General features: G+C 41.5%; 1 protein-coding gene and 1 long non-coding RNA gene across 7 annotated transcripts in view; one reads left to right on the top strand and one right to left on the bottom strand.

Annotated features, from left to right (window-relative positions):
- Positions 1-24,112, bottom strand: part of SMCO2 (single-pass membrane protein with coiled-coil domains 2) — a 78,870-nt gene that overhangs the window by 36,382 nt on the left and 18,376 nt on the right. For 4 of the 6 annotated variants that reach the window (NM_001395208.2, XM_017019254.2, NM_001387218.3 and 1 more), the window contains exon 1: positions 18,979-19,068. The exons of the other annotated variants lie outside the window; for them this stretch is intronic. The gene's annotated coding sequence lies outside the window, so the exon portion shown is untranslated. Of the gene's footprint in view, positions 1-18,978; positions 19,069-24,112 lie in introns of those variants that run through there. 6 annotated transcript variants of the gene reach the window in all.
- Positions 19,170-24,112, top strand: part of BMAL2-AS1 (BMAL2 antisense RNA 1) — a 56,846-nt gene continuing 51,903 nt past the window's right edge. The window contains exon 1 of the long non-coding RNA NR_109975.1: positions 19,170-19,307. This is a non-coding gene — a long non-coding RNA (BMAL2 antisense RNA 1). The remainder of the gene's footprint in view (positions 19,308-24,112) is intronic.

Here is a 24,112-nt window from a genome sequence, read left to right as displayed (position 1 = left end):
TGTCATTTATTAGCTTTTTGGTTTGGGTCAAAATTTAATCTCTTTGTCTGAAAAATTGGTTTACTAAGATCTACCTAATTGGCTTGTTGAGAAGTTAAAGGCACCAGGTGAGGAAGGAGTTTCAGGTAGAGTGGCTGACGCACAATAGGTGCTCAAAAAATGTTGTCAAAGGAATGGAATGAATGCATACATGGTAGGCATGATTTTTATGGCAATATTTTAGGTCTCGTTATCACCCTGAGCATTTCTTCAGCCAAAAGCTCAAGTTCAGATGTGTCACCTTTCTTACGGTCTGTACTGCATGCCCTACCTAGTTAGGAACCAGACTCCATCAACAGCCCTCCCACAATGCCTGCTGGGCTAGTATCCAGCCTTCAGTCCCCACCTTATATCATGACTATGCTCCTACCTTTGGTTGTCCTGGGTGACCTCATATTTCTTTAGGAAAAATCACAAAATTCTTACTACTAGTTCCATCACAAAATAACAATAATAGTAATAGCTACTACTTGCTGAGTGGTTACTAATGCGCTAGGCAGTCTCCCAAGTGTTTTACATATATTACCTAATTTAATTCTTACCACCTTTTGAAAAGGAAGGGATCTTGGATTTAAACCCAAATCCAGTTAGTCTGGCTCCAGGGACCATGCCCTAAAGCAGCACTGTGTAGACCACACTTCGCGTACTGGGTTCTCACAGGTACTCGGCCAAATTCTTTTCTCTCTCTCTCTCTTTTTCTTTTCTTTTCTTTCTTTTTTTTTTTTTTTTTTTTTTTGAGACAGGGTCTCCCTCTGTTGCTCAGGCTGGAGTGCAGTGGTACGATCTCGGCTCACTGCAAGCTCTGCCTCCCAGGTTCACACCATTCTCCTGCCTCAGCCTCCTGAGTAGCTGGGACTACAGGCACCCGCCACCATGCCCGGCTAATTTTTTTTGTGTGTGTGTTTTTAGTAGAGATGGGGTTTCACCGTGTTAGCCAGGATGGTCTTGATCTCCCGACCTCGTGATCCACCCGTCTCGGCCTCCCAAAGTGCTGGGATTACAGGCGTGAGCCACCACGCCCAGACTTTTTTTTTTTTTTTTTTTTTTTGAGACAGGGTCTTTTTCTGTTGCCCAGGCTGGAGTTCAGTGGCACAATCACTGCTCATTGCAGGTTCGACCTCCTGGGCTCAAGCCATCTTCCCACCTCAGCCTCCCGAGTAGCTGGGACTGCAAGCATGCGCCACCACACCCGGCTAACTTTTGTATCTTTTTGCTTTTTGTAGAGACAGGTTCTCACCATGTTGCCCAGGCTGGTCTCGAACTCCTAGGCTCAAGCAATCCTCCTGCCTCAGCCTCCCAAAGAGCCAGGATTATAGAGATGAGTCATTGCGCCCGGCCTCTTCTGAGTCTCTGGTTAACTCCAAAATATATGGGCCCCAACAGCTGGTTTCTGTCTTCCTCAGCTCCTTCCCACTCTGCCAGCCCCTGAATGCTGCCAGCTCCCTCTGTGGGCGGTGACCTCGCCTCTGCCTTACTGCACTGATCAAGGCCAGCTGATGAGAATCTTCTCTCCACTGCCAAACAACTCCTGTGTGCAGCCTTTTTTCCATTCAAAATATTCCCGTGTTTTCCCTCATCATCTCCCACTCCCCTTCTATCTCAGAGAAAGCATGTGTGCACTCTCTTTCCTAAGGCTCCCTTCGTTCAGACCCTTGTTGGTTTTTGGGGATTCTATTCCATTAGTTATAAACGCTGTTCGCAATTTCAAAACCTCTGCTTGAGTGCCTCTGCTGGGATTCCACTGGGAGCTCCCAATTTCTTTGAGGAAACAGATGTATAAGTATACTTCTGACATCCTCAGGCTCTGCCTCCGCACTGTTGCTTTGCTTCTGTATTAAAACCTGCTTCTGTTTTCTCTCTTTTAGGAAAAAATGATTTCTTCACTCTGCATTTGGGCTGCCATCTTATCTCTCTCCTTCTTTTTAATAAAGATTTCTCAGGATTTCTCACGACACATTGCATATTACATATTCATATTTTAACTGCTTGTGGTATGGCTTGTTGATTACAAGGTTTTGTTGGTTTGTTTGTTTGCTTATTTTCATAGTTTGAGAGCTGTTAGTCATCCAATTTCCGTGGTGGGTTGGGAACAGTGCATTTGTTTCTCGCACTTATTTGACCCCAGAGCCTTTTCTGTGCTCAAAGCATTGTGCTTCATGGATTGTGCTTTGGTAAGCCCTTTTCAAAGATTATAGAGAAGCCTGGCACGGTGGCTCACACCTGTAATCCCAGCACTTCGGGAGGCTGAGGCGGGCAGATCACTTGAGGTCAGGAGTTTGAGACCAGCCTGGCCAACGTGGTGAAACCCCGTCTCTACTAAAAACACACAAAAATTAGCCGGACGTGGTGGTGGGCACCTGTAATCCCAGCTACTCTGGAAGCTGAGGCAGGAGAATTGCTTGAACCCTGGAGGCAGAGGCTGCAGTGAGCCGAGATCATGCCACTGCACTCCAGCCTGGGCAACACAAGCGAGACTCTGTCTCAAAAAATAAAGAAAGACATAAAGAAATAAAGATGGTAGAGAACCTAAGTGAAGTTCCCAGCCTACGGGAAGAATCACAAACAGCAGCACCCACAAACACAGGGCATCCTCATAGTCGCATCTTGGATCTCGTGACCTTGACCTTGACAGCTTTCCTGAGCCACCTCTTCTCATCCAGTGATGTAACCTCTTGGTGCTGCAGAAACAGACTTCGTCCCAGGCCGGCAGCTGGCTCTAACCCCAACATCTGCTCCACTCCAGCAGGAGGGATGGTGTAGTCCCAGCTTGTCCCACCTGCCAGCCACCAGGCCACCCCCTGCTCAATGAGTCCTGAGACGTGACACTTAAGAAGGATATGGGATCCCAGAGAAAACCCTAAGCCCTAAATGTGTTAGCAAAAGGCTTCGCCGAGGGCCCAGAGATTTCAGGAAGTAAACTTAGAGGGGAGTAAATATGTGTTGATTTATATTCCCACAGGAATCTAAACCTTTTAATGAGTACCTTTCCCTGGAGGGGTTTGTAATATTTTAATTTACTCTCAATTACTATTGTGAAACTAGTAGTTAAGTAGGCTACTCTGGTTTGAATGTGCCTCTTTTTAAACTGTGCCAGTACAGACAGATATCTGCACACTACTGAATACCTCCGAGCTTCACTTCTGTCATTAATAAAATGGGGAAACAATAGCTACCTTGCAGCTTACTGTAGGTATGCAGTGGCTTTATTGTACATAAAGCTCCTGGAACAGAGTAGGCATTAAAAAGAGAAATGACTGTCTGGAGGAGTCAAATACATAAAACCTCAGGCGGCGAAGATTTTGACCTCCGGGAGAAAGAGAATATTATTCATTGTACATCTGGGAAGTCCCTGGCTTCTAGCCCGTTAGTAAAATGATAAAATCACTGTTTTTAAGGAAATTGAGTTCAAAGAAAGAAAAAGAAAGGGAGTAAGGGGGAGGGAGAGAAACTGTGTCATTTCCTATGATAGTAAAGAAAGTTCTTGGAAGCTGAAACTCTCCCGTTAGACTCTAAGCAAGAGTGATGTCAGAGCTGGAACTATAGAAATTGTTAGCACGTCGAATGAACGAAATTAGGGCAGGTAGTTCCTACAGGGCTTCATAGATATTTAGGAAAAAAACATCATTGTGAAATCCCCTTACGTGGTGGTAATAGCAACCTCATCTCTATTACCAAATGTTCATCAGTTACAAATCTAAGGCTCTGCGCTAAGTAAGGCAGAGGATAAAAGGATGTCCAAACAGTCTTTAACTTCAGTTTAGATAAAGATAAATAACAACAATAGTTAGTAGCATGCTGACTGCAAATAATGGTTTATGTAAGTGCTACAGGATTGTAGAGAAACCATTATGGAAAGAATGCCTACAGAAGGGTAGCCTGGATTTTCTAATACTTTCCAAGAGCTTCACACAGTAAAAGAGACCTGAATCAAATATTGTTCTGATGAATGAAGAAGAGGGAAGAAAGATTTCCAGGGAAGGGGAGCTTTCTTAAATGCCAAGGCAAGGGATTTAAAGTTATCTAGAAGTTGAGGAAAAGAAAGTTTGTCTGACAAATCGTATTGTATGAAAGTAATTGTAATTCAATGAATGTTTTAACCAATTAAACAGAAGAGAAGGCAATGGTGGAAGACACATTTATATAAGTAAATATTCATCGTCATATCTATACAGCCAACTCTCCTTATCCGTGGGTTCTGTGGATCCAAAATATTTTAAACGTTACCCTAAGCGAACTAACACAGAAACAGAAAACCAAATACTGCATGCTCTTACCTGTAAGTGGGAGCTAAACATTGAGTACACATGAACACAAAGGAGGGAACAACAGACGCTGGGGACTACTTGAAGGTGGAGGGCTGGAGGAGGAGGAGGATTGAAAAACTACCTATTGAGTACTATGCTATTACCTCGATGATGAAATAATCTGTACACCAAACCCCCGTGACATGCAATTTACCTGCGTAACAAACCTGCACATGTACTCCTGAACCTAAAAGCTAAAAAATATCTTCAACAATATAAAATAACAATACAACAATAAAATAATAAAAGTTTAAGAACAATACAATATAATATTGACATAGCATTTACATTGTCTTAGGTATTAGAAGTAATCTGGAACTGATTTAAAGTATACATAGGAGGATGTGCATAGGTTATATGCAAATACTACACCATTTTATATCAGGCACGTGAACATGCGGGGTGGTTTCTGGATTTCAGAAAGGAGGAAAGAAAAGGGAAAAAGACAGGAAGGCAGGCAAGCACACTGGCAGAAGGGAGCTAGTGAGGATTTCTGTGCCAGGACTGACTTGGTCATATCATGCCCTTGCACAGAAACCGTGTCTTCCTTTCTGAAACCTGGCTTGAAATTGATGTCAGGACATGGTTTCTGGGCTGTTGGAAAAGGAAGCAGTGGTTTCTGGGCACTGGTGTGGGTTTTCCAAGATAAGCCCTGTGAGTCTCATTTCCTTTCCTTTGCATAACAGAGCTAAGGCTTTTGTAGAACAGTCAAACCTTGAAGAACACGGGTTTGAACTGCGAGAGTCCACTTATATGAGGGTTTTTGAAAATAAAAGTTACCCCGAGTGTGCCTGCCTCTCCTGCCTTCCCTTCCACGTCCTCCACCTCTTCTGCCTCTGCCACCCCTGAGACAGCAAGACCAACCCCCGGCTTCTCCTCCTCAGTCTACTCAACCTGACGATCACAAGGATGAAGACCTTTATGACTCACCTTTATGATTCACTTCCAACATAGTAAATATGTTTTCTCTTCCTTATGATTTTCTTTATGACATTTTCTTTTCACTAGCTTACTTTACTGTAAAAATATGGTATATAATACAAATAACGTACAAAATCTGTGTTAATTTACTGATTATGTAATTGATAAGGCTTCTGGTCTACAGGTGGCTATTAGTAGTTAAGTTTTGGGGAGTCGAAAGTTATACCTGGATTTTTGACTGTGTGTGGGGTTGGTGCCCCTAACCCCGGCATTGTGCAAGGGTCAACTCTTATTTATTAAGTACCAATAACTGTCCTAAACACCTTGCATATATTAACTCATTTAATTCTCAAAATAGTCTCATGTGGTTGCTATCATTGTCTCCATTTTACAGATAAAGATGGTCTCACAGAAAAGTCACGCAGCTGGGAATTGGTAATACATGTTACATATGATTTAGATCTAATTTTAAAAATAGTTAAAATTAATTTTAGATTTGTGGTATTTAATTTCAAGGCAGATGAGAACTTGTGATAGGTTTATGCTACTTATTTCCCAATATGTATTCTCCCTTTTGCTGTCATAACAGAATCCTGAGGTTTTAGCCCAATGCGTGCCTGCACAGAAAAAAAACACATTTTCCTGCCTCTTTTTCATCTCCAGGTGACTAAATTCTGGACAATGTGAGTTAGGTGGAAGTGTATGGGCAACTTAAAATGAGAGGCATGCCCTGTGTTCCCCTTCTCCTGCTCACTGGTGGGGATGTGAGGATGTGAGTGTGATGGCTTGAGCAGCTATTTTGGGCAATGAGGAAGCCCACACCCTAAATGATACCCCATTGGGATAGGAGAGCTGACAGCTGAAAGAATCACGGTCCCTGTCCAAATCATGAATATTTATTTATTTATTTTAACTTTTATTTTTGGTTCCGGGGTACATGTGCAGATTTGTTATATAGGTAAATTGTGTGTCACAGAGGTTGTGTGTACAGGTTATTTTGTCACCCAGGTAATAAGCATAGTACCTGATAGGTAGTTTTTGATCCCCACCTTCTTCCCATCCTGCACCCTGAAGTAGTTCTCAGTCTGTTGTTCCCCTGTTTGTACCCATATGTACTTGATGTTTAGCTCCCACTTGTAAGTGAGAACATGTGGCATTTGGTTTTCTGTTTCTGTGTTAGTTTGCATAGGATAATGGCCTCCAGCTCCAACTCTTTCAGCTCCATCCAAGTTGCTGCAAATGAATGATCTCGTTCTTTGTTATGGCTATGTAGTAGTCTGTGGTACATATACACCACATTTTCTTTATCCAGTCTACCATTCAAATCAGGATTTTTTTTTTTTTTTTTTTTTTGAGATGGAGTCTTGCTCTGTTGCCCAGGCTGGAGTGCAGTGGCGCGATCTTGGCTCACTTCAAGCTCCACTTCCCGGGTTCATGCCATTCTCCTGCCTCAGCCTCCCGAGTAGCTGGGACTACAGGCACCTGCCACCCCACCCAGCTAATTTTTTGTATTTTTAGTAGAGACGGGGTTTCACCGTGTTAGCCAGGATGGTCTCGATCTTCTGACATCGTGATCTGCCCGCCTCGGCCTTCCAAAGTGCTGGGATTACAGGCGTGAGCCACCGCGCCTGGTCTTTTTTTTTTTTTTTTTCGAGATAGAGTTCTCGCTCTGTCACCCAGGCTGGAGTGCAATGGCACAATCTCAGCTCACTGCAACCTCCGCCTCCCGGGTTCAAGCGATTCTCCTGCCTCAGCCTCCAGAGTAACTGGTACTACAGGCGCCTGCCACCATGCCCGGCTAATTTTTGTATTTTTAGTAGAGATGGGGGTTTCACCATGCTGGCCAGGCTGGTCTCGAACTCCTGACCTCAGGTGATCCGCCCACGTTGGCCTCCCAAAGTGCTGGGATTAGAGGCGTGAGCCACTGTGCCAGGCCGGGAATTTTTATATAGAAGAATAAAACTCTATCTTTAAGCCATGTTAATTAGGGGTTTCTATCACTCACAAAAATTTAGTGTAGATAATATTAAATTTAATTGTTTGTAGACATTATTTAAACTTTTAAAAAACCTTTATTTACCCTATTTATAAGTTGACTTATTCAATTTATAAGAATTGCATAAGTGCTTAGAAAACTTTTACTTATGCTTATCAGTCCCTTCGGGCCTTTGAAATGTTTAAGAGGAAAATATATAAAATGTAAAAATTTAATTTAAACTCTTTCAGGAAGTTTAATTAACTAGTTGGTAAATGAGGTTAATTGTTTGAGGAATTTAATCTGTTTAATTTATTCATTAATTGAACACTCATTAATCAAAGAATGTGTGAAAGTAATGTTTTTTAATAAAAATTAATTTATAAATAGAATACTAATGCGCTTAAGTTAAATTTAGATTAAAAACTAGGTTTTTAAATTTGTAATTTAAATAACTGCATATTAATTTAAGCACAAGCGGATACAATTAGCCTTTTCTGCATACAAAACCTTTTCTCAGACGTTTAACAATACAGCTGACAGCAGATGAGAAAAATGGAGACATTGAGGAAGCTGCAAATATGTGAGGAATGAGAAGAAAATTTTAATCTTTCTGCTGGTGCAAAACAAAAAAGAATGAGATAGAATACAGATTTTCTCACATTCTTTTTCCAGCTAAAACATCAACCATCCTACCTCCCCTAAGATGAGATAACAAAAAGATATTACATTTTATTTTTAACCAGAAGTACTGGTTACGAAGTTTTAAATTATTATGTCTTATGTAGATTCTGACTTCACCTGTACTCTCAGTGACTTTGTACAGAAATCAGGAAGATGCTTTGAAAGAAACACTGTGCAATGAAAGTGCCACTGATGTGTCTAGCATTGACATGCTTTTGGCTGCAAAGACTTGAGCCCACACGTTGCCTGAAACCTTCAGTCCTTTGAAGCTGTGATTTCAAGACCCAGATGTTGACAGCTGCTCAGAATGCTTCTCAGGAAGAGGCTGGGACTTCCAAGACCCCATTCCTGGGTTGGGTGATGAGTGGTTCTGATACTGTGAAAACTCACAAAAGACTATGTAATGATACCAACCACGTGAGACTATTTTGAGAATTAAATGAGTTAATATATGCAAGAGACTTTGTGAGTGGGACAAACAGAACTCAGAGAGTGTCTGATCTACCATGGCTGGCTACATAATTTGGGGGCCCCAATGAGAAATGAAAATGTAGGGTCTCTTGTTCAAAAATTATTAAGAATTTCAAGACAGTGACAGCAGAACGTTAAATCACACGTGAGGCTCCTGGGATTGCACAGATCGCAGGCCTTCAAAGCTGGTTAGTAATGTGTGCGGCCTGGGGAGTCAGGGTTCAGGGGAGGGTTGTTAGGCCTGCCACCAAGAGGACGAGAAACTGATCGGGGTAGCCAACCTCTGCCCTCTAGACCAGTGGTCCCCAACCGTTTTGGCACCAGGGACCAGTTTCGTGAAAGACAATTTTTCCACAGACAGTGGGAGGGATGGTTTTGGGATGAAACTGTTCCAACTCAGATCATCAGGCATTAATTAGATTTTCATAAGGAGTACAACCTAGATCCCTCACATGCACAATTCACAGTAGGGTTTGTGTTACTGTGAGAATCTAATGCCTCTGCGGCTCTGACAGGAGACTGAGCTCAGTAGCAATGCTCACCTGCCTGCTGCTCACCTCCTGCTGTGCGGCCCAGGTCCTAATAGGTTACCAGTCCTAACTGGTACCTAACAGGGTACAAAGTCCACAGCCTGGGGGTTGGGAACCCCTGCTCTAGACCAGCACTGATGGTAGGTTTTATACATCAGTGGAGTTTCACGTAAAAGTTTGGGGAAAAAAATGATTCTTCTACCAGGAAAAATTAAAAGGAAGAAAAAACAAAAAGGAAGAAACTGATTTTAATCCTTTTATTTTATACTTTAAATAATTGTTAAAAACCACACAATAGTCGGGTGCAGTGGTGCACACCCGTAGTCCCAGCTACTCAGGAGACTGAGGTGGGAGGATCGCTTGAGCCCAGGAGTTTGATTCCAGCCTGGGCAACATAGCAAGACCCCATTCCTCCCCCCTCTGCCGACCAGGTTACACACTAAGAACAGTTTTTCATTGTAAGAATTCAAACAATATAAAAATATACAGACTTTAAAAATGAGGAAACGCTTTACTTGCCTTATAATTCCACTTCTCACCCCAGAGGTATCACTATATTGATGTGCATTCTTCCCAAGGACATTTATCCATGTGTTGATGCATATCTATATACATATAATGTCTTTTATATAATCCAATACTTCTTTGTTATTTCGTTTTTTTTGAGATGGAGTTTCACTCTTGTTGCCCAGGCTGGAGTGCAAAGGTGCGATCTCGGCTCACCGCAACCTCTGCCTCCCGGGTTCAAGTGATTCTCCTGCCTCAGCCTCCCGAGTAGCTGGGATTACAGGCATGGGCCACCACGCCTGGCTAATTCTGTATTTTTAGTAGAAATGGGGTTTCGCCATGTTGGCCAGGCTGGTCTCAAACTCCCAACCTCAGGATTTTGGGATCCACCCACCTCGGCCTCCCGAAGTGCTGGGATTGCAGGTGTGAGCCACTGAGGCTGGCCTCCAGTACTTCTTTGTATGTAACATTGCTGTGATCATGCTACATGTTCTGTCCTAAAACTTTTTATTTCTTAATATGTCATGGAACATTCCATGTTAGTCTCATACATCTTCTTCATTCTTTTTAATTATTGCATAATATTTCACAACATAAATTATCCTAAAGTATATAAGCCATTGATTCCTCCTATTCCTGAATATGTCATTTCTTTTCAATTTTGGGGGGCTGTTATTCTTACCACATATAATGCTACAATGAATGTCCTTGTTTGTGCTTCTTTTTGCACATACAAGACTTTGTTCTTTTGTTTTTGGGGATAGATACCTATACGTAGATTTGGTGGGGCAAGAGAAACTGAGATGCAAAAAACCTACTCCACAGCATGCAGGTTTTAATGGTAAAGTTGATCAAAAAGATAATAAGCTTGGTAAACTTATAAACTGTGTTCTTCTGAAAGCAATTTGTGATTTTATACTAAAAGCCCTACAAATGTATCTTATCTTTTGACCCAGAAAATGTGCCTCTAGGAATAATCAGAGATCTTTGTGAAGACACCTCTCTATAAAGATATTCATAGCTATTCTATTTGTAATAGTAATAAATATTTCGATATTCAGAAAGCTTGTACCAATATGCCCACCGGACTGTTAAAATATTAAAAATCATTTGTTATGAATGATAGATAGATGCTACTTGGAGTGCTTCTCCCAAATGCCCCCACATGCCTGCCTCCTGGATTCTCCCATGAAATTAGGCCCTGCCATTCAAACACCAAGGTTAATGCCTGGAACAGTCTGGGGCCTCCAGAACCCAGCTCTGGCCTGACAGCCTGGTCATCCTGAGTGGTGGGTCCATGCCTTCCTGGCTGTTAAATGCTTTCTATGTATTTTCAATTTAATTCCTAGAAATAATGTAAAAGTTCAACGATAGGAATTGATTAAAAGAATTATGATAATGGAAGGCCATGCAGCTATTAAAAATGGTGCTCTGCCATGGAATACTATGCAGCCATAAAAAAGGATGAGCTCATGTCCTTTGCAGGGACATAGATGAAGCTAGAAGCCATCATTCTCAGCAAACTAACACAGGAGCAGAAAACCAAACACCACATGTTCTCACTCATAAGTGGGAGTTGAATGATGAGAACACATGGGCACAGGAAGGGGAACATCACACACTGGGGCCCGTTGTGGGGTGGAGGGCCAGGGGAAGGATAGCATTAGGAGAAATACCTAATGTAGATGACGGGTTGATGGCTGCAGCAAACCACCATGGCACGTGTATGCCTATGTAACAAACCTGCATGTTCTGCACATGTATCCCAGAACTTAAAGTATAATAATAAAAAAAGAAATTTGCCAATCCAAAATATAGAAAATAGGAATTAAGCAATGTGTTTAATACCACAGAAAAGGCAGGTAAAGAGAATTGTAAAACGTTCACATGGAAACATTTTAAAACTCCAACCCTATCACCCATTATCATCCTATAAATAATTGGATGCAGAGGTGTCCTTTTAAAACAAAAAGGTGCTCTGAAGATATGATTGGAATATATTGCCAAGTGAGGGGAAAAAGCAGTATACAAAACAATACTCATTATGTAATCCCATTGGAAACATTTATTCATATTGATTCACAGAGAGGGCCAGGCATGGTGGCTCACACCTGTAATCTCAGTACTGTGGGAGGATGAAATGGGAAAATCACTTGAGCCCAGGAGTTTGAGAGCAGCCTGGGCAATATAGTGTGGCCTGTCTCTACAAAAAATTTAAAAATAAGCTGGACATGGTGGTGCATGACTGTGGTCCCAGCTACTCGGGAAGCTGAGGTGGGAGGATCACTTGAGCCAGGGAGGTTGAGGCTGTAATGGGCCATGATTGCGCCACTACACTCCAGCCTGGGTGACAGAGTGAGACCCTGTCCCCCTCCCCCACAAAAAAGAGATTCATAGAGAAAGTCTAAAAGAAACAAAAATGTCAACAATGGTTATATCTGGATGATGAGATTATACTTGATTTTTGACACTTGCTCTTGTTGCTTACCTGCAGTTTTCTTTTCATTCTTTGCAATAAGTTTGGCAAGTCTTATAATTAGGAAAACAATGTGTTGCTTTAAAAATAAACTAAAACTAATGCTAGTTAACAGGAAAAGGCAGGCTTTTTTCTTGATTTGTGCCACATTTGCTGTACTTACTTGAATTCAGCTCCCTGGGGCAGGGACTAAAGGGTAAGCCAAGAAGGCTGACAGAAGCTCAGCAAAAACATCTGGAGGGATGGAGGCTGGGGATAGAGGGAGGAGAGGCAACCATATCGGCCAACATTCTGTCTCCTTTCACTCTTTCTACTTCCTTTTGTTCAGACAGTTCATTTTAGTGAGGCCTCAGGCATTTTTGAAATTCTGCAGCGTGGGGAGCTGCCAGGGTCAGCCTTTCTGTTCTTTCATGTCTGAGCATATGTGACAGTTTTTCAGAGAATATATATAAGAGAATGTTCCATTCTCTAGTTGGGCTTTCATCCAAGGTATAGATTTTCAGAGCTGTGGACACAGCCACTGAAATAGCACTCACATGCCCCGGCACAGGATGGGGCAGCAGCTTTTATCTCAGTAGGCTCTGGTTAGAATGGTCTTTTCATAATGATAAACCTTTGAACAACAGGGAGTGTACCCAAGCCACAAGGAAGACTCTTGACCACATTTGGAGGGCTGACACGGAACATGTCTTCCCACCTAGCCAATTCCTGGAGAAGGTACTATCATGGCCAGGGACCTTGTATGATATGATGGATGCTCAACTCCAGAATTTTACCTGCTTAAAAACTGGGGGCCAATCTACAGATGTCTCCCTTTGGCCATTGGGATAGCAACTTGAAATGCTCAGTGAGACCCCAGGAGGAGCAGGCCATGGGCTCTAATGCTCTGAGATTGTTGGCATCAAACAGAACTCCAGAACCATAGACTTCATGGGACATTTTTACAACCATGGGCCTAGGAAGAAAGCTACGATGCCCATAGTAGGTGGTCCCTTAGTGATGTGATATCAGAAATGAACCTTCTTCTGAAAAGAGAACCACCATACAATCCAGCAATCCCACTACTGGGCATCTCCCCAAAGGAAAGTAAATATATCAAAAAGATACCTGGCTAGGCATAGTGGCTCTTATCTGTAATCCCAGCACTTTGGGAATCTGAGGTGGGAGGACTGCTTGAGCACAGCAGTTTAAGACCAGTCTGAGGAACATAGTCAGATCCTATTCTACAAAAAATAAAACATTAGCTGAGTGTGGTGGTGCACACCTATAGTCTCAGTTACTTGGGAGACTGAGGTGGGAAGATTGCTTAAGCCCAAGAGGTCAAGGCTGCAGTAAGCCATGATTATGCCACTGCACTCCAGCCTGGGAAATGGAACAAGACTCTGTTTCAACGAGAACAAAAAGATACCTGGACTCATATGTTTATTGCAGCACTATTCACAACAGCAAAAATATAGAATAAACCTAAGTGTCCATCAGTGGATGATTGGATTTAAAATGTGGTAGAATGTGGAAAGATAGACCATGGAGACTCAGGAGGGTGAAGGAGTGGGAGGGGAGTGGACGATGAGAAATTACTTAATGGGTACAATGTATGTTATTCCGTTAATGGATACCCTAAAAGCCCCAACTTGACCATTACACAATCTATGCCTGTAACAAAGTTGCACTTGTACAATTGATACAAAATTTATACAAACTTAATTTATACAAAAAAGAAGTGAGCCTTCTTTACTCCCACTTTCCCTAGTATCCACCCTATGACTCCGCAATCCTTCTGATAAAGCTTCATTCCTCAGTATGATTAAAGAAAAGGTCCTTACAAAATTGTAAATATCCTTGGAACAGTGTCCTATCAGCTATGATCTCTTAACTATGACTGAATTTATTGCATCCCACTCCTGCCAGTTCACAGATATTCCCTGCAGAGAGGGATATATAAGGTGACTTGAACAGTGGTAATAAAAGGCTCCTATTATGGATTTCACTTCAGGAAGACAGGCCCAGGAGGATTCTAGAAGAGAAGGCAAGAAGGAGGGTAGTTGGGACAGGAGAAGCCATGGAACCAGGAATATGCACGGTTCTCATTATTCCTCACTGATCCTCATTATTCACAGATTGCATATTTGCTAATCCACCTACTACGTACAGTTTGTTTGCAACCCCCAAATAAATGTGCCTCATGCTGTTGAGGCAGACATGTGCAGAGTGGCAAAAAGCTTGAGTCACACAATGCACATATTCATTTAAAGTGGACTCCAAGTGCAATGCTGAGGCACTGTCCAGCGTTCCTAAGCTCAGGAAGGCTGTGAGGTGCTTTGTGGAGAAAATACACGTGTTAGATAAACCTTGTTGTTGGCTGTGAACTGGATGTTAATGCATCAACAGTAAATATTGAGCACAGTGTCTTTAAACAGAAACACATATAAAACGAGGCTACATATTGATCATTTGATAAAAATGTGACTAGAGAGGGGACCAGCAGGGGGGAGGTTGGGGGAAAGAGAAGAGACAGAAATGGATGACCGTTATAACCCCAATGGGGAGTGCTATCCAGCCCAGGGTCCCCCTCTCCCCACAATGTCAGGCTGAGCCTCCAAAAGATAATGTTAGAAAAAAAAATGTGACTAGAGGCTTGAAAGAGCCTAACCCTGTACTTCCCCTGGGAGCAACAGTTTTGCATTTGCTAATTCAGTGTTCACAGAGACTCTACAGAACAGAACTACCAGGTATAATGAGAATTAACTGTAATCTGAAATTTTGGACAGAGAACAAATAGTAAATAATAACTATCTGTAGTAGTAAAATAAATGACAGATATATTTGTATCTTTCTATTATTTACATGAGAAAAGATGAATGAGAGCCTCGGCTTGGCAATTTGTAAAGTTTATCAAAATCTAGAATTCTTTGGAATAAATCAGTGTCTCCTAAAGCTTCTAAAATTTCTCTTTCACTCCTCCCAAGAAATTATTTAGGGCAGCAACTCTTTCCCTGTGAGGATAGCCTCGTTCATGGACATAACTTTGCAGTACTCACTGTATGAAGCCAATCATACAAAAAGACCAAGAAAACACCACCTAAAAAGATTTAGCCCATTTTACCTTAATATAGAATTGTTATTTAATTTTATGAGACAGGCAAATATTCTTGAAAGTCAATTTCTAAATAGCTATAAGAATACTTAGAAAAAATCTAGGAACAGTCCTTCACCAGTGAGCATTCTTTTCAACATCTATTCTCTGTTCCTGGTTTAGATAAAGATTGGCAGCACTGCTCCCTCTGTGAGCACTTTGGGTTGTGATCCTCCTCGTGCTGATTTACCAGTCCTGAAGTATGGCTTCCCAGGAGCCGCTGAGGGTAAAATCAATGTTAACTTACACTCATCTTCAGCACACTGTTTGCACTGAAGGAATGGTCCTAGCCTTACTAGTGTTGGATTTTAACAAACTAGGTGAGAAGAAGCCTCAGCTAGTTGATAAAATTCATTTGTAATGAGGACACAGAGGTCCAGTGGAAACTGGGCATCAGAAGAAACAGGCGAGGTCACATGGTGCTTGTCAGGCAGCCCAGCCTAGTTGGTGGGGGGTGGGGGCAGGGAGGGAGGAGGGCCAGAGAAATAGGGTGCCTGCCTCCTTCCCAAGGTAGGGATTGCAAGGCCTGAATCAAGAAAGGAAGGTCAACAGCCTTGAGGAGAATATGTTTTGGTGACCAGGTGTGACCCTCAGAACAGGACAGGCAGCCAGAGGCTCCACAGACCTCTACCCTGAGAGGAGCAGAGCTGAGCTGGGAAGAACTCTGTGTTCCTGAATGTGGCCCACAGAATCCATTCCGCACAGCATTTGATAAGATTGACTTAAGAGGAGACAATTATGATTGGAGTAGGGGTCATGAGCTAAAACTGGCCGATGAATGGATGGAGGTGAGAACGAATGAAGGGAGGCAGCAAAGGCAGGGCTGCCTGCTCGAGTCTTTCAACAGTCCTACAGGAAGGGCTTAGCTAGAGATTCGGACCCACGTAGCCAGGCATTAAAGCCCAAGAAATGGGCTCAGCCCCTCCTTTTGGTTCTCTAATGGGGGAAAACTGGCCTTGTAAGAGCCTGTCATTGTATTATAGGACAATGGAAATACCCAGCCAGAGAAATAGAAGTCCAATGTACCAAGAGGGGAGTGGGACATAATTGGTGTTATCAGTGCATCACTCAATGGATTTGTATTGGATATTTTAACTTTTCCCCCCTTCAAGGGACCAGATGAGAACTAAATCTGTATAAATCCTTGGGTGTGACCTTTAACTCAATCCAAGGCACAATAGGTTTTCAACCACATTTTCTCTGTGCAGAAAAAGTTTCCAAGAAGGAAATGGAGGAGAAGCCTCATTACTCCCTTCTGTCAGTCTCTTACTGTGATCCCTCCATAAGCAGTTTCCTGTGTTTCTCACAATTAATTTTAATAATTTCATTTTTGCAGAGAATTCTGTATAATTGAGAAAGTATGTCAACTTGTTCCTATAATTTTTTCAGAAGTATGCAGCAGGTGACAGATTTTGTCCCTTACAAAGATAAACATAACGAAAGTATGAAATGTTTGTTCATCCAAATGTTGTTTATGCAAAGATCAGAGCAAGTATTTCGTTTGGGTGTGGCAGTTCAAAGAAACACCTTGATGACCTTTGCGGCTTATCTAATAACGCTAGCATTATGTTTTTTTTGTGATCACGGAAGCGGGTGCAGGGGTGGCATGATTTATAATTCAACAGTCTTGGTTTAGCCAGTCTAGAACACTTAGGAGCATATAATCAGGTCAAGTTTTCAGACCCACACAAAGCCTGCAGGGTGGCTGAGACCTAGGCTGGCCTTAGTCCTCAACTTTTTGAGCCAACATACACTTGAGTCTGCAGTGGATGGACAGTTTCCCACCGCTTGCCTTCTCTTTCTCCTCTTTCAAAGTCCTTCTGTCTTTTACCCCTTTGATTCTGGTTTGACAATTCCATTCTTCTCTCATTATTTGGTCAACTGGTAGACTATGTGTGGGAGCGGGAGATTGAGGGGTTTAGAGAATCATGTGGTTGGAGAATGAGGGTAGAGGATGTTAGAGTGACCTCCGAGTGAATTATCAATAAGACCATAAGACCTTTCTCAATGCAAATGTTAACCTCCAGCTAGTACATATTAAGCTGATTATTCTGCTTAAAGGTCATTTGTTTACTGCCTCACCTTGAACCACATTATAAAAGGTTCCCTTGTTTACTTTTGTTTAGAACTGGAGAGAGGATTTTAAAAATTTAATCCCAAGGGTCCCAGAGCCTGGCTTAAGGAGCTTAAGGGTCTGCTGGCCCCAGTTTAAGTTTTGTTCTTCTGACACAATGCCGAGAAAAGCATTGATTCCAGTTCAATTCTCAGGTTTGTTTATTTGGTTTTGCTTTTATGCAGTTGGGGGAAAATAGAAAGAAAAATGGCATTAAGTTCAAGTGTGGCCACCCTTTCTATTTCAACAAGTAGTATTCTACTAAACTCAGTAAAGACTTGCCGCTTGGGAGAACTAAGGCGGAGGGCACTCTTCTTTATCGTGCAATTCTGACCTGGCAGACATAGCATTCTGGGTTTACATCTATTATGTCACTAATCCTGACAACACCTCTGTAGGGTACTTGATAATATTCTCAATTTAACAATGAGTAACAACTTCTGGGAGGAGGGTGACTTGTTCAAGGTCCTACAGCTAGTAAGTGGTAAATCAAGAACTTAAGTCCAAAATTTTCTAACCGGAAAGCTAATACTTTCTCTACTTGTTTCTAAAAACATGTATTTAATTGATAACTATTTTTGAGCATCTGCTATGTGTCAGGTACTGTGCTGGAGTGGAGAATGCAAGCATGCGTAAAGATACAGTTCCTGTCCCTGCGGAGCTTGCAGGCCACTTGGCTCTGGTCAGGTGCAATGTGTTAAGTGCTAGGGAAGGTTGCGGTGGCAGCACATAGGAGAGGCACTCGGCTGAGTTTCTGGGGCTCAGACGCGTAAGTCCAGAGAAAGTACATCTACAGAAGCCCGAAAACAGTTTCTCAAATTTTACTGTAAATGTGAATCATTCTAGGATCTTGTTAAAATGTAGGTTCTGATTCAGGAGGTCTGGAGTGAGGCCTAAAGTTCTGCTTTTTTTTTTTTTTTTTGAGACAGAGTCTTGCTCTGTCTCCCAGCCTGCGATCACCACTCACTGCAGCCTTGACCTCCTCCCACCTTAGCCTCCCGAGTAGTTGGGACTACAGATGCGGATCACCATGCCCAGCTAAGTTTTTGTATTTTTTATAGAGACAAGGTTTTGCTGTGTTGCCAGGCTGGTCTCAGGCTCCTGGGCTGAAGCGATCCTCCCACCTTGGCCTCCCAAGGTGCTGGGATTACAGGTGTGAGCCACCGCACCTGGCCGATTCTGCCTTTCTAACAAGCTCCCGAAGAGGCTGTTGCAGCTGGTCCATGGATCACCCTGTTAGTAGTAAGGCTCTGAAGAGCAAGAAAGGGTTAGCCAGGTAGAGAGGTGTGTCGGTGGTGACAGCTTCCCCAGTAAAGATGCAGAATGGGCAAAGCCTTATGGAGAAAAGGATCAAGATCATCTTCAGGGAACTGTGGTTTCCCCAGTAATCCTGGACTGTGGGGCATGAGGTGGTGAGGTAGCTCAAGAAGGGGCTGGAGGTGAAAGTGAAGTAAATGGAAACCCATCATACAGGGCCCCATAAGCCTTGTTAAGGGGCTGTGTCTATTACTGAGGGCAGTGAGATGCCATTCACTGTTTTAAGCTGATGAGTTCCTTTATCGGATCTGTGCTTTCCAAAAAGCACACTGACTACAGTGTGGAAACTGCATTAGAACAGTGTTTTCAATGCTGTCTCCATGTCAGAATCACGTGGGGAACTTTATAAAATGCCAATGCTCAGCCACCGTCCCTAACCCCGACCCCAGACAATTCAAGAGGATCTCTAAGGCAGAAGTTCTTAAAGCATGGTCCCTGGACCAGCATCAGCAAAAGCATCAGGGAACTTGTTAGAAATGCAAATTCCCAGGCCCCCTCCCAGACTTACTGAATCAGGAACTCCGGGAGTGGGCCCAGCAGCCTGAGGTTTAAGAAGCTCCCCAAGGGCCTCAGGTACAGCTAATGTTTGAGAACCACTGGATTAGAGGGAGAAAAGTGGGGAGAGAGAGAGGATACTTGACCAATCAGAAGCAGAGAGATGATGATGTCACAGAACCCACATTGGCTCTTATTAAACTCGAGGATCAACATCATCTTGATAGAGTCCCATAGTGTCTCAAAGTGGGGAGGTTAGGATGCTGGTTAGTCATGGAGTATTTTCAGAGTGGAAGTTGATCAGTGACGTTTTGTCAGGGATTGATCCAATTTATAAACTAGGTAAGTTTCTGTGTTATTGACTGAATTGTTTTTCCCTCCAAATTCATATGTTGAAGACCTACGCCCCAATGTGATGGTATTTGGAGATCAGGCCTTTGGGAGATAATTAAGGTTAGATGAGGTTATGAGGGTGGGGCCCTCATAAATGAGATTAGTGCCCTTATAAGAAGAGGCACCAGAGAGCTTTCTCTCTCCCTCCTCCATCTCTCTCTCCCCTTCCCCTCCTGCTCCCTCTGTTCCCAATCCCTGCTTCCCAACTCCCACCATGTGAGGACACATTAAGAAGGCCACCATTGGCCAGGTGCAGTGGCTCATGCCTGTAATCCTAGCACTTTGGGAGGCTGAGGTGGGTGGATTACGAGGTCAGGAGTTCAAGACCAGCCTGGCCAACATGGTGAAACCCCATCTCTACTAAAAATACAAAAAGTAGCTGGGCGTGTTGGTGGGTGCCTATAATCCCAGCTACTTGGGAGGCTGAGGCAGGAGAATCATTTGAACCTGTGAGGCAGAGGTTACAGTGAGCTGAGATCACGCCATTGCACTCCAGACTGGGCGACAGAGCAAGACTCTGTCTTAAAAAAAAAAGAGAGAGAGAGAAAGAAAAAGAAAAAGAAAAAAAGAAGGCCACCTTCTACAAGCCAGAAAGAGAGCCCTCACCAGAAACAGACCATGCTAGCACTTGATCTTGGACTTCTATTCTCCAGAACTGTGAGAAAATAAATTTCTGTTGTTTAAGCCACCCACTCTGTGGTATTTCGTGATGGCAGCCTGAGCTAAGACACTTGTGGAAAGGTAAGTGGTCTTGCTGGGACACATGGGTCCCTGTGGAGTTAACTGTTAAAATGGTTTGTCTGTGGTCTTATCTTGGGACATGTGGGTCTGAGTGAATTGCAGCTGTAACAAATTGAGCTTATATAGTTTACGTTGCAAGTTTTCAGTTTTGAAATTGTGGCTTTTGTTTCATATTTTAGAATCCTAAACTAAGGCTGTGATATGAATTATTGAAATTCAAAACTCTTAATAGGGTTGTCAGATAAAATATAGAACACCCAGTTAAATTTGAATTTCAAGTAAACAGTAAAAACATGTTTAATATAATTATATGCCAAATAGTGCATGGAATATACTTATTCTAAAAAAAATTCATGGTTTATCTGAAATTCAAATTAAACTGGGTTCCTGTATTTTTAAAAATTTTATTGAGGTACACTATACATGTATAATTTACCATATTTACCATTTTTAAATGCAGTTCAGTAGCAATAAATACATTGATATTCTTTGTTTTGCCTTTATTCCCCTCCCCTTCGCTGCCTCTGGTAACCACCAATCTACTGTCTATCTTCACGAGATTCACTTTTTTTAGCTCCCACATATGAGTGAGAACATACGATATTTGTCTCTCTGTGCTTGGCTTATTTCACACAGCATAATGGCCTCCATTTCTATCCATGTTGCTGCAAAGGGCAGGATTTCATTCTTTTTTTATAGCTTAATAATACTCCACTGTGTATATATATATCACATTTTCTTTATCCATTCATCCATTGATGGGCACTTAGATTCATTTCATATTTTGGCTATTGTGAATAGTGCTGCAATAAACACGGGCGTGCAGCTATCTCTTTGATATATTGATTTCCTTTCTTTCACATATATACCCAGGAGTGGCATTGCTGGATCATATGGTAGTTCTATCTTTAGTGTGTTGAGCAGCCTCCATACTATTCTTCATAGTGGTGGTACTAACTTATACTCCCAGCAATAGTGGATGAGGGTTCCCCTTTCTCCACGTCCTTGTAGGCCTCTGTTACTGCCTGTCCTTTTGATACAAGCTATTTTAACTGAGGTGACAGATACGATCACATTGTGTTTTTTATTTGCATTTCTCTGATGATTTAGTGATGTTTACAAATATTTTCTCTCATTTTGTGGGTTGTCTATTCACTTTGTTAGTTGTTTCCTTTGCTGTGCAGGAGCTCTTTAGCTGGATGTAATCCCAATTGTCTATTTTTGCTTTGATGGCCTATACTTTTGAGGTCTTACACAAGAAATCTTTGCCCAGACCAATGCCCTTGAGTATTTGCCCTGTGTTTTCTTCTAGTAGTTTCACAGTTTCAGGTCTTAGATTCAAGTCAATAATCCATTTTGATTTGATTTTTGTATATGTTGAGAGATAAGGGTCTAGTTTCATTCTTCTGCATATAGTTATCCAGTTTCCCCAGCACCATTTATTGGAAAGACTGTCCTTTCCCTATTGTATGTTCTTGATGCCTTCGTCAAAGATGAGTTGGTTGTAAATGCGTGGATTTATATCTGGGTTCTCTATTCTGTTCCATTGGTCTATGTGTGTCTGTTTTTATGCCAATATGCTGGCATACTGGCATAAAATCATGCTGCTTTGGTTACTATAGCTTTGTGGTAAATTTTGAAGTTAGGTAGCGTGATGCCTCCAGCTTTATTCTTTTTGTTCAGGATTGCTTTGGCTATTTGAAGTATTTCATGGTTCCATATAAATTTTAGGATTGTTTTCTCTCTTTCTGTGAAGAATGTCACTGGTATTTTGATAGGGATTGCATTGAATCTGTAAATTAATTTGGGTAGTATTGTAATTTTAACAATATTAATTATTTCAATCCATGAGCATGGAGTATCTTTCAATTTTATTGTGTCCTGTTCAATGTCTTTCATCAGAATTTTATTGTTTTCCTTGTATAGATCTTTCACTTCTTTGGTTAGATTGATTCCTAGGTGTCTTGATTTTTTACAAATTGTTCACTGGTGGCATATATAAATACTATTGATTTTTGTATGTTGATTTTGTGTCCTGCACCTTTATTGAATTTATCAGTTCTAACAGTTTTGTGGTGGAGTCTTTAGGTTTCTCTAGGTATAAGATTTGTCATGTGCAAACAAGGCTCATTTGACTTCTTCCTTTCCAGTTTAGATGCCTTTTGTTTCTTTCTTTTGCCAAATTACTCTGGCCAGGACTTTCCAATATTACGTTGAATAACAGTGTTGAAAGTGGACATCCTTGTGTGGTTCCAGTCTTTAGAGGAAAGGCCTTCCATTTTTCCCTATTCACTATGATGTTAGCCATGGGTTTGTCATAGATGGGCTTTATTATTTTGAGGTATGTTCCTTCTATACCCATTTTTGAGGAGCCTTTTTATCATAAGGGGATGTTGAATTTTATAAAAATGTTTTTTGGCATCTATTGAAATAATCATATGGTTTTTATTCTTAATTCCATTAATGTGATATATCACAGGTATTGATTTGCATATGTTGAAACATCCTTGCATCCCTGGGATGAATCCCACTTGATCATGGTGAATGATCTTTTTAATGTATTGCTGAATTCAGTTTGCTAGTATTTTGTTGAGGATTTTTGCATCTATGTCCATCAGAAATATGACCTGTAGTTTTCTTCTTTTGTGGTATTTTCTTCTCTGGTGTTGGTATCAGAGTAATGCTGGCCTCATGGAATGAATTTGGAAGAATGTCCTCTTCAATTTTCTAGAATAATTTGAGTAGGGTTGGTATTGGTATTAGTTCTTTAAATGTTTGATAGAGGCCAGGCACTGTGGCTCATGCCTGTAATCCCAGCATTTTGGGAGGCCAGGGTGGGAGGATCACTTAAGCTCAAGAGTTCAAGATCATCCTGGGCAACATAGTGAGACCTTGTCTCTACAAAAAAATCCAAAAATTGGCTGGGTGTTGTGGCGCATGCCTGTAGTTGCAGCTATTCAGGTAGCCAAGGCAGAAAGATCACTTGAGCCCAGGAGGCTGAGGCTGCAGTGAACCATCCACTGTACTGACAAAGTGAGACCTGACAAAGTGACTGGCTGACAAAGTGAGACCCTATCTCAAAAAATAAATAAATCAATGGTTGGTAGAATTCAGCAGTGAAGTCATCAACTCCTAGGCTTTTCTTTGATAAGAGACATTTTATTATGGCTTGGATTATTGGTTTGTTGAGGTTTTCTATTTCTTCATGGTTCAATCTTGGTAGGCTCTGTGTGTTCTGGAGTTTGTCTGTTTCTTCTAGGTTTCCAATTTGTTGGCATACAGTTGTTCATACTAGTCTCTAATGATTCTTTGTATTTCTGAGGTCTCAGTTTCTATGTCCCATTTTTCATTTCTGATTTTATTTATTTGAGTCTCTTTCTTTCTCTTGCTCTTTTTTAAATTAGTCTAGCTAAAGTTTTGTTGATTTTATCTTTTCAAAAAGCCAACTTTTCATTTCATTAATTTTTTTGTCTCAATTTCATTTATTTCTGCTCTGATTTTTATTATATCTTTCCTTTTACTAATTTTGGATTTGGCTTGTTCATGCTTGTCTAATTCCTTGAGGTACATCATTAGGTTCTTTATGTAAAGTCTACTTTTCTGATCTAGGGATTTATTGCTATTAACTTCCTTGTTAGTACTGCTTTTGTTGTATCACATAGATTCTGGTATGTTGTATTTCCATTTTCCTCTGTTTCAATTCATTTTTAAGTTTCTTTCTTAATTTCTTCATTGACCCATTGGTTGTTCAGGAGCATGTTGTTTAATTTTCATGTTTGTATGTTTTCCAAGGTTGCTCTTGTTATTGATCTCTAGTTTTATTCCATTGCGGTCAGAGAAGATACTTGACATGATTTCTATTTTTTTGAATTTATGCAGACCTAAGATATGGTCTATTCTGAAAAATATTCCATGTGCTGATGAAAAGACTATGAATTCTGCAGCAGTGGGGTAAAATCTTCTGTAAATGCCAGTTAGGCCTATTAGATATAGTGTGTAATTTAACCCCACTG

Source organism: Homo sapiens, chromosome 12 (genome assembly GCF_000001405.40).
Source record: "Homo sapiens chromosome 12, GRCh38.p14 Primary Assembly".
Lineage (NCBI taxonomy): Eukaryota > Metazoa > Chordata > Mammalia > Primates > Hominidae > Homo > Homo sapiens.
The sequence above is the reverse complement of the archived record's forward strand: the minus strand, read 5'-3'. Positions and strand labels throughout refer to the sequence as shown.